The sequence below is a fragment of the Homo sapiens genome, chromosome 11 (assembly GCF_000001405.40).
Source record: "Homo sapiens chromosome 11, GRCh38.p14 Primary Assembly".
Taxonomy (NCBI): Eukaryota; Metazoa; Chordata; class Mammalia; order Primates; family Hominidae; genus Homo; species Homo sapiens.
The window spans coordinates 135,061,343-135,076,622 of NC_000011.10; the positions used below are offsets into that span (position 1 = coordinate 135,061,343).

Genomic DNA, 15,280 nt, shown 5'->3' on the forward strand with positions numbered 1-15,280 from the left:
AGTTCAGTCTCTCTCCCCTGTTGCAATAGTCTTGAATAAAGTATTACTTGCCTGTTTAACTCTGTCTAGTGCAATTTCTCTTTGACATTACCATTGCAAACAAGTATAAATTCAAAAATATATACATGAAGAAAATGTTTTCAGGCATTGAAAAACAGATAGAACAGGACTGAGATCCTAAAAAAAAAAGTGAGACACACAGATGGTCTCTACATTTATACTAGTTTTCCATCCAGGGGCATCTTTCAAACCATATTCCTTGCTGCTACCATACCAGATGAACACAAGCTTTAAGGTTTAAAAAAACAAAAATCTATTATCATACAGTTCTGAAAGTCAGCAGTCAGAAATGGGCTGAAATCAATGTGTCAGAGATGCTGTGTTTCTTTTGGAAACTCAGATAATCTTTTTACTTCCCTTTTTTGGCTCCTGGAGCCTACCTTTTTTATTAGGCTCATGACCCATCCTCATCTTCAAAGCCAGCAGTGTAGCATCTTCAGATTCTCCTGACTCTCACCTTTTGCCTCTCTCTTCCAGACTTGAAGCTTCTTTGATTATATAAGATCAGGACTCTTCAAAGATTGGCAGAAACCACTTCTGTGGACCTGTGAAATGAATAAATGGTCACACTGTGCTGGGAGATGTTAATATTTTGACCAATTAGAGTGGAGAGATTTTGCAGAAAATCTTTGAATTCAGTCGAAACCTCAAAGCCCACACTTTAGGAGTGTGGCTACATTAGTTCAAGAGTAAAGACTAAATTAGATCAATTCCCCCTTGCCTCAGAAAATCCTAAAGCCAAACCTGAAATATGATAAACTGATTCACCAGTAAAGTAATGACCTTTAAAGACAAAACTCTTTGAAGGAAGAAAACAAAATCCAGACCTGCAGAATATACATTCTTTTTACATGCATATGGAATGTTCATCAAGTAAACTATATGACGGGTTATAAAACCATTCTCAGCATATTTAAAATGAATAAAATCATAAAGCATGTTCTCTGTCCATAAGAGAAATTAATTACAAATCAATAGCAAAACTGTATTTGGGAAATCACCTGTATATTTGGAAATTAAACAACCCACATAACTTAAAGACCAAACAAAAAGATTAAAATTTTAAAGTGTATTTGAAATGAACAAAAATGAAAAGGCAACTTCCCAAAATATGTAAGGTGCAATTAAAACAGTGATTATAAAGAAAATGTATAGCTCCAAACCCTCATATTAGAAAAACAAGATATGTTTAGAAACAATAATCCAAATGTTCACTTTTAATACCTAGAACATGAAGAAAAAATTATACCTAAGGTAAGCAGAAGGACGGATGTAATAATACTAGGATTGAAAATCCATAAAATAGAAGATGAACAAATAGTAGAATGTTTATTAAGTAGTTCTTTGAAAAGATTAAAAATCCTGATAAATCTTGGTTAAATTGCTCAAGGAAAAAAAGAAAATATAAATTACCAACACTAATAATGAAAGAAGAATCATTACTATATCCTTCAGACGTTAAAACGTTAACAAGAAAATATTTTGGACAAGTTTATACAAATAAATTCAACCTTGTAGTTGAAATAGACCACTCCCTTAAAAAATCAAAACCAAAAACAGTTTACCCAAACTGAAAAATGGTAAATTAGAAATTATGTATTGCCCTACATATACAGCAAAGGAACTGAGTTTGTTTCAAAAGAAAAAGGAATCTTCCTAGAGAGAAATCTTCATTTAGCTCAAAGAGCATATGTGTGTGCCAGTGCTGTGGTGTATGTGAGTGCTGGGTGTGTGCATGCACACGTGTGAGTATTGTGTGTGACTACTACGTATGTGCATGCACACGTGTGAGTACTGTGTGTGCATGTGAGTACAGTGTGTGGGCATGCACACTTGTGAGTATTGTGTGTGAGAATACTGTGTGTGCAGGCACACGTGAGTACTGTGTGTGCAGGCACACATGTGAGTACTGTGTGTGCATCTGAGTAGTGTGTGTGTACTTTGTGTGTGTGTGCGTGTGTCTTTGTGTTTGAGCCTATGTGTGGATTCATTGCTGTGTATGTCTTTTCTTTCAACAATTGCACATGTTCAATGATCCAGCACAGGAGCATTTTCTCATATGCTCAATGCTGCACACATTGGGTACTGTACTATTGTGTTGCTCTAAAGGATTACCTGGGGCTGGGTAATTCAGAAATTAAAGAGGTTTATTTGGCTCACAGATTTGCAGGGTATTGAGGTGGGGGAGCACAAGTTTAATTATCATCCACTGATATTCTCTGAGCTATACGAGAAGCATGGCATCAGCATCTGCTTCTGGTGAGGCCCTCAGGGAGCTTCCACTCCTGGTGTAAGGGGAAGTGGAACTGGCTTCACATGGGGAGTTAGAAGGAAAGAGAGAGTGGGGAGGGAGGTGCCAAGCTCTTTATAACAATCAGTTCTCCTGGAACTCACTCATTATTGCAAAGGAGGCACCAAGCTAATCATGAGAGATCCACCCCCATGGCCCAACACCTCTCACCAGGTCCCACTTCCAACATTGTGGATCACATTTCGAGATGAGTTTTGGAGGAGACCAATATTTAAACTCTGTCACACAGTAATAAGAAGAAGACTAAGAATTATAAGTAAATAATTGATGCTGTTTCAGGTTTCTCTGGGAGAAGAAAAGAAGGTACTATTTCTGAAGAGAATATACTTTGAGAAATGAAGTATAAGATGCATATTTTCAAACCAATTTATCAAGTTTCCATTTTAAGCCTTCACATGTGGCACACGTGAATCATTCACTGTTTTAGATGGCCACTGGTAAAGAGGTTTATGGATATGTTTTAATGGCATCACAGCGTCACTCTGATGTTGGACACGTGGATTGGACACACTGTGAGTCTGTGGGAGCTGCTTCATGCCTATGGAAATTCTCAAGGTAACTTAGCATTTTTGCAGTTGTATCACTCATCGTTGCCCTCCGAGCACCACATTCACAATGCCTATGATTTCTTCTCCTAAATTTACCATCCATCAGCCAGTAGACACCTCAACATTACATGAATAGCCAGTTTTAATTTACTCTGGTGGGTCATTGCAATTTTTTTAAGTTGTTTCAAGAATCTGTAAATACAAATCATCATTATTAACCTGCAGGAGTTTTGTGTTTTCTGTTTTCTCTTTATCTTTTTAGGGTATCTTTGGAAAGCCAAGCACAGCTTGTTTAGGAAAGCAGATTTTTTTTTTTTTTTGAGATGGAATCTCGCTCTGGCACTCAGGCTGGAGTGCAGTGGCGCAATCTCAGCTCACTGCAACCTCCGCCTCCTGGGTTCAAGCAATTCTCCTGCCTCAGCCTCCTGAGTAGCTGGGATTACCAGTGTGCACCACCATGCCTGGCTAATTTTTGTATTTTTAGTAGAGATAGGCTTTCACTATGTTGGCCAGTCTGGTCTACAACTCCTGACCTCAGGTGATCTGCCCACCTCGGCCTCGCAAAGTGCTGGGATCACAGGCGTGAGCCACTGCAATCTGCCCCTGAGAACGGATTTTGCAGGCTATTGAGGTGGAGTAGCACAATTTTCATCTCAGCTCCTCCCTCTCTGAGGTTGGAAACAGCTGAGTGCCTTCTGTCTCTCTCTCAAGCCTCTGTTCCTCACCCCTGCCCTGGCAGCCTTTGCTCAGCTCCTAAAGCAATGGAGAGGTCTTTCTAACAGCAGTGAGTTTATTGCCCAACTGTGTGGGGTTCTGGGGGACGGGATTGGCAGATGAAGGAGAGAGGGCTCAGTCCCTGATCTGCAGACCTGTATTTTTCTTCCGATCAACACATTTCTTTTTATTATTATTATTATTATACTTTAAATTTTAGGGTACATGTGCACAACGTGCAGGTTTGTTACACATGTATACCTGTGCCATGTTGGTGTGCTGCACCCATTAACTCGTCACTTAACATTAGGTATATCTCCTAATGCTAACCCTCCCCGCTTCCCCCACCTCACAACAGGCCCTAGTGTGTGATGTTCCCCTTCCTGTGTCCGTGTGTTCTCATTGTTCAACTCCCACCTATAAGTGAGAACATGTGGTGTTTGGTTTTTTGTCCTTGTGATAGTTCACTGAGAATGATGGTTTCCAGCTTTATCCATGTCCCTACAAAGGACATGAACTCATCTTTTTTTATGGCTGCATAGTATTCCATGGTGTATATGTGCCACATTTTCTTAATCCAGTCTATCAGTGATGGATATTTGGGTTGGTTCCAAGTCTTTGCTATTGTTAATAGTGCCGCAATAAACATACGTGTGCATGTGTCTTTATAGCAGCATGTTTTATAATCCTTTGGGTACATACCCAGTAATGGGATGGCTGGGTCAAATGGTATTTCTAGTTCTAGATCCCTGAGGAATCACCACGCTGACTTCCACAATGGTTGAACTAGTTTACCGTCCCACCAACAGTGCAAAAGTGTTCCTATTTCTCCACATCCTCTCCAGCACCTGTTGTTTCCTGACTTTTTAATGATCACCATTCTAACTGGTGTGAGATGGCATCTCACTGTGGTTGTGATTTGCATTTCTCTGATGGCCAGTGATGATGAGCATTTTTTCATGTGTCTTTTGGCTGCATAAATGTCTTCTTTTGAGAAGTGTCTGTTCATATCCTTCGCGCACTTTTTGACGGGGTTGTTTGTTTTTTTCTTGTAAATTTGTTTGAGTTCATTGTAGACAGGAGGACTAAGAAGCAGCCTGAAAGATGAATTCCTGTGGGGAGGGTGAGGAGGCTGGGGATACACGGGCAGAGGCAAGGATCTGGAGGAAGCAGAAGTCAGATGTCACCTCCGTGAGCTTCACCAGGGCCCTGGAGTGCTCTCAGAAATTTTGTTCAGACTGGGCAGGAAGTGTCGGTCATCCCATCAGACCTCCTTTGAGTTTCTCTGCACAGAGTCAGGCCCACTGAGGAGGCAAGGAGAAGTCTATGGGTTCCTTATGCCCTGGAGCTCTGTAAGGAAAACGTGAGGACAGGGTGTCCTTTCATCACATAAGGCTAAACATCTTATGGAATATTATACATTCCAAGCTGAGAATACCAGTTAAGTTTCTTCATTTGAAGGTGGGAGAAGGCTTTGGAGAGATAAAGAGGCACCGACAGAAGCAAACATTCAGAGACCCAGGCTCATAAAAGGACAAGTGGCCCCAGGAATCTGGGTCTGAGCAGCCAATGACAGTGTCTTTGAGGGGTTGTCATAGTCAGAACACATAAATCTCAACCATTTCAAGCTCAAGATTTGTGGATAAGGAAATCTGTTTAGCCAGAGTTGCTCATCATTTGACTGAAAGAGGGAAGGTTCCTTAGTTGTTCCTTCAAAATCCTGGAGGATAGTGAAGGTTCTTGATGGTTCTTTACCCAACAGAAAATCAGGAGCCTTTTTGGCAGGTTACACATTGAAAGTGGGGCTGAGCCAGCAACACCTGCTTCTGGGTACCCCGGGGCACTGTCCTCCTTGATTGTCTTGTTGCCTGCAGCCAGCCGTCAAGCCTGACCACAGTTAGAGGCTCAAGAGTTGGAGGGGAGCTCCAAGTTTATCAAGAGCAGGCCGTGGGACCAAGTTTTGCTTGTTCAGTTGTTTGTTTGCATGTTTATCTCAATTTACAATCGATCGTAGACTGTAAAATGTCATAATAATGAAAAACAAAGATAAGACAAACAAGGAAGAGTAATTAGAAAAAAGTAAAACCAAAATAAATTTAAATGTAAAGAAATAATTGAAAAACAAAAGATAATAAAAGCAAAAAAAATCCCTGATTAGTTGGAGGTAGCAGCAATGTCAAATTGCTGTAAAGGTTCCTCAAAGCTTATCCCATCTTCTGTATGTATCTGGTCTAAGGATGATAACATCACTGATCTTGGCTGCCAGTTCTCAACTTTACACATTAGGGTGACCTGGAGAGATCTTCAAAGTGTTAATATATGGGGCGCCTCAAATATTTCAATTTAATTAGTCTGTTGTGAGACCTGTGAATTACCATTTTTAAAAACTCTTTAAGTAATCACAATGAGCAGCAGAGTGAAAAGCCACTGATCCAGACTGATGTTTTTTAACCTGCATAAGTGTGAGAATCACCATGGAAATTTATAAACGTACGTGCGCACAGCTCCCACTCAAATTTTACAAAATTCCAATTTCTGGTGGTGGTTCCAGGACAGTGGTGCATTTACAAAACACCACAAGGGATTCTAAAGGATACTCCTAGATTAGAGCCAGAAATTCAGTCCAAATACCTTATTTTACTAATAAGGAAACAGACTCTGAAAGGTGAAATGTCAAACTTGATCATTAGCAAATCTAGTTATCTTTTGAGAAAGAGAGGCATATTGAAGTTTTTAATAAACTTTAGCCAACTGTATCAGATCCTCTGAGGGTGAGGAAAGATAGCACATGCAGCCTTAAGCTGCCCTAATGAGGAGCCTGGAGACACAGCTTGCTGCAGCTACAGCAACTGAGCCGCTCTGTCTGTCGGTTTTGTTTGGTGAGTTGAATTGAAGCTAGTTTTTAATGAACTTTAGTTGTTGAATTTGTGCAGATCTAAAGGGTAAGGAAAGGAAAAGCAAATAGGTTCATTTAAAAAATGTTGTGCCCATGTTGTTTATAGCAAGAGTAATACCCAATTCACAACAAAATTAGATGGTTTTTAATGTTGTGATCCACGAGACTGCACCTCAATGATGAGATGTGTTGTGTGTAGAGTCAGGCAAGAGTGGAGGCAGGCAGGTTGCATCTGAGCAAACTCAGAACATTTGGGCTCCATGGGGAACACACACGGAGGAGGCCTGGACACTTCTGCTCCCAGGGATGTCCTGGATTTACGGAGAGGGAGGTTTGTGGCTGCTATGGCTCAGTGGTACCACATGCACTAATCAGCAGTGGGAGTGAAGACAGAAAGCTGAAGAGGTAACAAGCCTTAACCGTATTCATAAATAATTTTATTTAATTTGTAAAATAATTTTATTTTCTCTCACTGCTAATTACAGGCAATAATATAATGACTTAATAAAAGCAAGGAAACAAAAGTGACTTACATGTGCAATTATTCAGTGAGCAATTTCCAAATCATAAATATAGATTGCTCTGATCTGAAGGGAGCATGGTATGCAAATGCAATTAATATGTACAATTGTCAAGCTGCCCTGGGAAATAATTTGTTTTAAATAAAATAACGTTGGAGCTATAGGCAGGCCACTAGCACTGATGAGCAATGGTCTCCTCCTGTGAACTCTGCCTTGTTCCCCTGCTGCCGACTGAAGGCCAGGCCAGAGCAGTGTATCTCCACCCAGGAAACTGACAGCAGCACAGTAAATACTGTAGTCCTGTTTGAAGGATCAAAGGGGGCACCAGGATCTCCAAGGAAAAGCTTGGCCTCTGTGGGGCATTCTGGGAGGACAGCCCCGGATCCCCATTCCACACCGCGCCTTTCCTTTGGTGATAACATCCCTACCATGTCATTTAGATCATCCACTTGCCAACAGTGCGCAGAGCCTGGCCTCCCTCCCAGACCCAGCCCTCTTTAGATGGTCCACCCTACAGATGTGCTGGAGGAAGAGGAGCTCGCAGGCACTCCCAGTGAAGGCGTCCTGAATGCCTCTTTCTCTCACCATTCTGTCCTCACTTAAGTCTTTGTTATCTCAGTAAACGGCACTGCTACCCAACCAGCTGCTTGATTCCTGAATAAGAATATATTATTGACACCATCCTTTTTCTTTCCCTTACTTGAAATCTATAAATTCTTGTCAAACTTGCTTCCAAGACATATCTTTATTTATTTATTTATTTATTTTTTTGTCCCCCGGGCTGGAGTGCAGGGGCGCGATCTCAGCTCACTGCAAGCTCCGCCTCCCGGGTTCACGCCTTTCTCCCGCATCAGCCTCCCGAGCAGCTGGGACCACAGGCGCCCACAACCAGACGTATCTTAAAAGTCCTCACACCTCTAAGCAACAGCCGCCTTTACCATAATAGCCCTAGTTATTATGCAAAGATCTTAAAGTAGCCTTCCAACTGTTCTCTCTGGTTCCAGTCAAACTTACACTCAAATAACATTTTAGACCACAGCATTCTTTTCTGCTTAAGACAGATAAGTAGCTTATTGCATTCAAATTAAGTCCAAATTGCTCAACCTGGTGTCATGATTAGTTTTATGTGTCAACTTGGTCAGGCTATAGTACCCAGTCATTTGGTCAAACACTAATCTAGGTATTGCTGCAAGGATATTTTGTAGATGTGTTTAACATCTATAATCAGCTGCCTTTAACAAAAGGAGATTGCATTACCCATGTGGGTGTGCCTCATCCCATCAGTTTAATGTTCTTAAGAGCAAAGACGTAGATTTCCTGGAGATGAAGTGAGTTACCTCAAGACTGTGGCATCACTCTTGCCTGACATTCCAGCTTGCCTGTCTGCTCTGCCAAATTTGGAATTTCCAGCCCCCACAATCATGTAACCCAACTTCTTGAATCAATCTCTCTGTCTAAATAAATAGGTAGATGATAGAGAAATAGATAATGTATATACAAATATATGTGCATATGTTATACCCTTGCATACAACATGCATGTATAAATCCTGTTGGGTCTGTTTCTCTGCAGAACCTGACTGATACACCTGGAATGTAAGGCATTACAGAGTCAGGCCTCTCCCTTCCAGTCTGACCTCATCACATAAGCTTTCTCCACAGGTCACTGGCGTCCAGCTGCAGTGACCATTCAGTTCCTTGAAATCTACAGCTCTCCTGCCTCAGCATCTTCACACATGCTCTTCCCTCCCTCAGGAATGCGAACACGGTGCCCTCTCCCTGCATGTCTCCTCCTCACCATTCAGGGTGGCTGTGGTGAGTCACTATACCAAAGAGGCCATCCCGCCCTCCTGTTCAAAATAAGTCTCACTGCATCCTTCCTCCCTATTTCCTGACCTCTCTTGCAACACTTCCCATTGTTAGCTATTATGTTTTTATTCATTTATTTACAGTTTGCATCTGCCACCAGACTGTAAGTTCCACAATGGAACTGTTGTCACTGTTTCTATCATCTCAAAAAACCCAGGTGCCTGCCCCAGTGCCTGGTACATAATAGGCTCATTAATTAAAGCTGAATGGATGAATGTCCTCTACTGAAGAGAAACCCCCCCTCCCTGGATCTACTTTAGTCTTAGCCACCAACTCACTGAAAGACTTTAGGCAAATACTTTGCCTCTCCAGTTCCATATGGAAAAGATTGAGAATTGTGAAATTATAAGAGTCTTCCCCGTCCTGGGAGGGCCTCTTTGAGTCTGACTGGGGCTGCAGGAACCTCCTTCAGTGTGGCTCCTCACATGGCTAGTGAGGCAGTGCTGGCTTGTCCCCATGCCATCTCTCCATGGACATCTTCATTGTCCTCAGGGCATGGCAGAGAGCCCCCCTGAGCCACCAACCCAAGAAAGGCCAAGGGAAGACAGTGGTGCCTGTTATGATTCAGCCTTAGCGTCCTCTCCACAGTATTCTATTGGTCACAAGGCTGAGTCCTGTCTGATGAGGAAGGGGAGACACCAAGGCATGGGGATCAGGAAGGAGGATTACTGGGGTCACCTTGAAGGCTGGCTGCCACAGGGTTCCAACAGCAGTGTGTGTCCTCACAAGGCTCTGAGCACACAGGATGTTAGCACTTAAATTCCATTTGATCCTCCCAGTGAGGCTACACACACAGATGACAGATAAGCCATGGCAAATCAGAAAACTGCCCCATCCCTGATGCTGCCTGAGCTACTGTCTGCTGATAGGAGGGGACTTGGACCAGTTAATCTCTCCTTCACTTCTTCAGACACAATCAGTTATCATTCACAGCGAAATAATTTGCCATCTTGGAAGATCCAATAAGGTCTCCGTAGAACAAAGCTCTTGACTTTTTCTTCCTAATCTTCTCTTTTATTTGAAGCATTTCAGACATTCTCAGCTCCTCTTGCTAGCCTCCAACACAGGTGTAGCATTCAGTGATAGAAAAACACACACAGCAGCAAGATCCCCTCTGTTTTTTATTTTATTTATTTTTTGAGACACGGCCTCTCTCTTTCACACAGGCTGGAATGTGGTGCCATGATTATAGCTCATTGTAGCCTTGAACTCTTGGGTTCAAGCAATCCTCCTGCCTCAGCATCCTGAGTAGCTGGGATTACAGCTGTGCACCACCATGCCCAGCTAACTTTTAAAAATTATTTTGTGTAAAGATAAGGTCTTGCTTTGTTGCCCAAGCTGGTCTCCAACTTCTGGGATCCAGCAATTCTCTGACAGCAGCCTCCTAAATGGTTGGGATTATAGGCATGAGTCACTGTTCTCAGCATCTCTTTCTTTACATGGTGAGAGAAAAGGGAGAGAAGAGAGATTTAAAAAAGAATATGGGAGAGACAGAGAATAAAGATGAGAAATAAAGAGAAGAAGGAGGAGAAAGTTTGAAAAAAACGAAAGGAGAGGGGAGAAGAAAAAATGTGAGAATTAGAGAAAAGAGAGAAGAAAATAATACAAATTCTTTATTTCTGTGCCCAGAAATTATGATTTCTATGCCCAGCTGTGCCATGAAATATGCTACCAGTGAGAACTCTGAGTCTACTGCCCCGCTCCACACACACACACCCTCCCTGTGTTCATGAGTGGCTCCTCCCAGGCCTGGCAACAGTTCCCTCTTGCACTGTCCGAGGCCCATCCCCAGTGTCCTTGTTTGAGACACACTCTGAAAATGCTTGTAACACTCGAGTCTGAAATACTTGATTCTTCACAAAGACATTCCGTTGCCATTGGGGGAGTAGTTTTCCGGTTCTGGCTTGGAATGTCACTCCATGTGGCTAGTCATGTATTAAGAATACGGGAGTCATTCTTTGGATCCACTTTGACTTCCAGCTTGAGAATGGAATAATGTGCTTCATATACTTAAAAGAACTTTTTAAAAGTCTTTATTGTAGAATTTTGCAATAAATGCAACATCCATAAGATCTGCCTCGGACTCCGCCATGTGTGCCACAGCACTGTCAAGGCAACCCCTCTCCTCTGCCTCAGGTCCCTTCCTCAGCACACACAAGCCCCCAGCTTCCTCCTGGGTACCTGGAAGGCAGCCTGTGACCAGAACCCAGCCTTAAAGCTGCGGCCCCTGACTAGCTTATGAACTCCGTCAGCACTTTCAGTCAGCAGCAGCACATGTAGTGACACCTAGGTCCTTGGGAGGTCCCTGAACCTCGGAGCCCAGGCTTCTATGTAAGGCAGTAAAGGACACCCAACTCAGGTGTCTGGGGGCCTGGGCACAAGTCTGCAATGGTGAGTGCTGTGCCATTTATCCTGTGATGGTCCCACAGTACTAATTAGACAAATGGTGATTAGCACACTGAGTCTAGACCAGGGCAGCCAAATGGAGACAGGAGAGACCAGGAGCCTGGTGAGGAGGGAACAGGTGACAAAATAGACTGCCAGCCCAGACCCCTGTTTGTGAGACACAAATGGGATGAAGGAGCATGTGAAGGTTCTGAGTAATCCAACAGGTGAGGGCAGATGGCTCCCTAAAGAGACACAACTGTGACATGCAGACTCTCACTGCAGCAGGAAGTTCTGGGGCAAGACACCAGGGAGAACTTCCACACCAGGAGGATTGAGAGGAAGCACCCACACAGAGAAGCATGTGCTTGGATTAAAAGTCCCCCAGCTCCTATCCACTGTCATGTTTAATAGTCCAAACTGAGTGGTGCACGAGACAGAAAACAGGGTGTCGTGGGCAAGAGGCACCACTGGGCTCAGCCGCATCTCTCAGGAGGCCGTATGTTTCCTCACTGGGTACTGATCAGCATCTCAGCGGCACCTGCCTCTCCAGCACCCCCCACACTTTGGAACCAGGAGACCACAGACTTTTTGCTCCTCTGAGGCAGCAGAGAGCCCACCAGGCTCAGAGCTTCCCTTCAACAACAGGCGTCTCAGAGGGTGAGAAGCGAGAAGGGCTCGGTGCACAGATACATAAAAAATGGGAGAGGGAGTCACACCCCAGAGGCAGTGGGACAGCTGCCTTTGGAGTAGTGGGCTCAGTCCTAAATTCTGTTTAAAACACTACTGAGACAGATCACTGAGGTTGAATTTGGGCAGATGCAGATGCTTATGATAATTGAAAGTTGTCTCTCACACTGGCAAGATCAGCAGCCACGTGTGCAGGAGACCAGCTGTGCTCCATCTGCTGAAGACGAGCCAGACAATAGCCCTGAAAAGCAGTGCAAAGACTGGAGTTAGCCGAGGGTGAGTTCTCGCTGGTGGGTGGGCTGGGGAGGCGAGAACAGATGTGTCACCAGCTCGTGCCCTCAAGTCTTCCTATGTGACCTGCTAGGAGGTGACAAGTCTGCCAAGTTTCCACCACGTGCCAGGAATTTCTGAGACTGCTCCTTTTAATCCTTGCAAGAGTCTGAGAGGCAGGTGACTGCTATCTCTGTAAAGAGACCCTCCAGGTCTGTGCCCTTGCCTCTGAGAAGCCCCAGGTCGCCAGACCGTGGCTGAGGGAAGGTGCAGGGCTAGGGTAAGAATGAGTCGAAGAGACCAAACTGGAGCACTCCTGAAGCTGCCTCTGCCTGCCTCCAGAACCCAGGGGCCAGGATGTGCAGGACGGTCCCAGATCAAGACCCCCTCCCAGCCTGGGCCCCCAGCCCTCCCAGGATCCTGCATCAGGGGTAGAGTGGAGGGAGGCATTGGGCCCTTTCTCCTTGCCCACTGGGAGGCACAGGAATAAGGAAGCCCCAGTCCTTACCCTGTCTGTGGCCCTGCCATAGAAGCCTGAGTTGATCCACATGAAACCAACTCTGGGCACAACGCATGCTCAGAGAGGGCTCTCTGGATTCGCGATTTAAGCTCCAGGCTCAAACAGTGCTCCTGTGCCTCTCTGTGCTTGAAATGTCTGTCCTCAGAACAGGCCAGACATGCCTGCAGGCTCAATGTGGCCCTGGTTTCAAATTTTTCTTCTGCCACGTCTGCCACTTGGTTATCGCTAAGACTTAGTTTCTTCTTACTGCAAAATGAGAACATTAATGAAAGCTTCCAAGGAAGCTATACTGCTGATGACATCAAACAAACAAACAAAAACAAAAAGTATGTTTCAGCAGTCAGCACAGTGCCTGGGAAGCACTTGGTAAATGGCAGCTGTAATTTTGCTCTTAACATCACTGGAGACAGCCCAAGCATTATCTCCAGGATTTCTCTCTATGTGCACGGGTTACTTCTCTCCTGTGTGCTATGAGTGCCTTCTAGAGCCAGCCTTGTGAGTTGCAAGGAGAGACCCTGAATCCTCAGACCTGCATCTTTTACAACTGCAGTCCTGTCACTTAACGACAGGTATACATTCTGAGAAATGTGTCGGAGGTGATTTCATAGTTGTGTGAACACAATGGAGCGCACTTACACACACCTAGATGGCACAGCCTACTGCACACTAGGCTATACGGTAGAGCCTGTCACTCTCTGGTGGCACACCTGTGCAGCACATGACAGTACTGAATACTGTAGGCAACTGTAACATTATGGTAACTATTTATGGATCTGAACTTATCTAAACATTTCAAAGGTAAAGTAAAAATACAGCATTACAATCTTGTGGGACCACCATCATATATGTGGTATGACATGGATTGAAACATTGTTATATGGTATATGACTGCATACTGGGCAATAAATTTACTAATTTTTTTACCTAAATCTCAAAAAGACAAATGTTTTTAAGTTTGTCTGTATTTCTAGGCTTTATACAAAACAGGCAAAACAGGAGGTAACTTTGCTCCAAGGCTCAGGAATGGGTGGGTTTCTGTGTCCCAGCAGAACTCACACTAGGAGACACTCTGTGGTTTCATAATTAAGGCTAATCACATATTAAGTTTACTTTACCTGTATTTGTAGCACATTGTTTGGAAATGCTTCATTGTCTTTAGTAGGTTTATAGAACAAAAACTAAAGATGCTCACCCAGCACAGAAAGTAACAAGTAACCATCATTTTTTATCATAATCAAAGTAAGACTATTCTTGTTTTAAAAATAAGTCTAGTTTTGTTAGATTTTGCCTGATTATTTATGTAAGTGCAGCAAGAACAGGAGATGACCAGGTAGGTGCTTTCAGGTTTCTTTGCTGGAAGTTTTCATACAGAATCTCAGATTTCAGCTGCAGTCCTTATAGCTTTGTGTGAATTCCTGTCTTCTTGAAGTCCCCAAAATATCCCTAAATTCCTGGGTCTACGAGGAAATGACCTTCCTTACTAACCTGTAAGGCTGTGAACCGTGTAATCTAGGTATCAGGCTGGCTTTTCTGAGTGCTGTGTTCTTAGAGAGTGTTTCTTGGAGGAAAGTGAAAATCTTTCCTCCAAGTTAAGAATTGGGACATCAGGTCTCCCCAGTAATAGCTCCGTTTCAGTTTGAATTTACAGAACTGATGGGGCTTAATAACTGGCGCCCCGAGTTTGTTCGGGAGGTGGCCAGTAGGGGACGCCAGCCGTCACACCGGGAGCAAGAGGGCCCTGCAGTGTCCTTAGCTGCCAGGAGGTGGCGTAGGGGCACCACATCATGAGCAAGAGGATCCTGTAGTGACCCCAGCGGCCAGAAGGGGGCGTGCCGCGACTACACTGCAAGCAAGACGACCCAGCACTGTCCGTAGCTGCCAGCAGGGGAGCCACCCGCCAATACATTTGGAGCAAGAGGGCCAGGCAGTGTCCCCAGCTGCCAGCAGTCGGACGTGCTACCCCTACACTGCGAGCAACAGGGCCCTGCAATTTCCCGAGCTGCAAGCAGGCGGCCTGCCGCCACTATACTGCGAGCAAGACAGCCGGCGCAGCGCGCCTCTCTGCGCCTGCGCCGGCGCGGCGCGCCTCTCTGCGCCTGCGCCGGCGCGGCGCGCCTCTCTGCGCCTGCGCCGGCGCGGCGCGCCTCTCTGCGCCTGCGCCGGCGCGGCGCGCCTCTCTGCGCCTGCGCCGGCGCGGCGCGCCTCTCTGCGCCTGCGCCGGCGCGGCGCGCCTCTCTGCGCCTGCGCCGGCGCGGCGGCTTTGCGAGGGCGGAGCTGCGTTCTCGTCTGCAGAGACCCGGGGGACACCGCAAAGGCGGAGCAGGTTTCTCAGCACAGACCTTGGAGGCACGGCCTTCGTTTGGGACAATTCGGGGCCGCATCGACGGTGAATAAAATCCTTCCTCTTTGCAGCCCTGAATAATCAGGGTCAGAGATCAGTTAGGGTTAGGGTTAGGGTTAGGGTTAGGGTTAGGGTTAGGGTTAGGGTTAGGGTTAG

At 44.9% G+C, this 15,280-nt stretch overlaps 1 long non-coding RNA gene across 1 annotated transcript, besides 3 other annotated features; it reads right to left on the bottom strand.

The window, feature by feature from the left end:
* Positions 7,419–7,920: an enhancer, noted in NCBI's record as "H3K4me1 hESC enhancer chr11:134938655-134939156 (GRCh37/hg19 assembly coordinates)". NCBI's record gives its function as "activates a minimal SCP1, AML or CMV promoter by ChIP-STARR-seq in naive H9 embryonic stem cells {active_cell/tissue: H9 hESC(naive)}" and the evidence as "EXISTENCE:reporter gene assay evidence [ECO:0000049][PMID:30033119]".
* Positions 10,935–14,855, bottom strand: LINC02684 (long intergenic non-protein coding RNA 2684). The gene is made up of 3 exons (NR_183661.1): positions 14,269–14,855; positions 12,772–13,029; positions 10,935–12,234 (listed from the first exon to the last, which is right to left on the bottom strand). It is a non-coding gene; the product is annotated as a long intergenic non-protein coding RNA 2684 (long non-coding RNA).
* Positions 14,453–14,502: an enhancer, noted in NCBI's record as "active region_5775". NCBI's record gives its function as "activates an Ori minimal core promoter by ATAC-STARR-seq in GM12878 lymphoblastoid cells {active_cell/tissue: GM12878}" and the evidence as "EXISTENCE:reporter gene assay evidence [ECO:0000049][PMID:35858748]".
* Positions 14,583–14,732: an enhancer, noted in NCBI's record as "active region_5776". NCBI's record gives its function as "activates an Ori minimal core promoter by ATAC-STARR-seq in GM12878 lymphoblastoid cells {active_cell/tissue: GM12878}" and the evidence as "EXISTENCE:reporter gene assay evidence [ECO:0000049][PMID:35858748]".
* Positions 14,856–15,280: the final 425 nt, after the last annotated feature.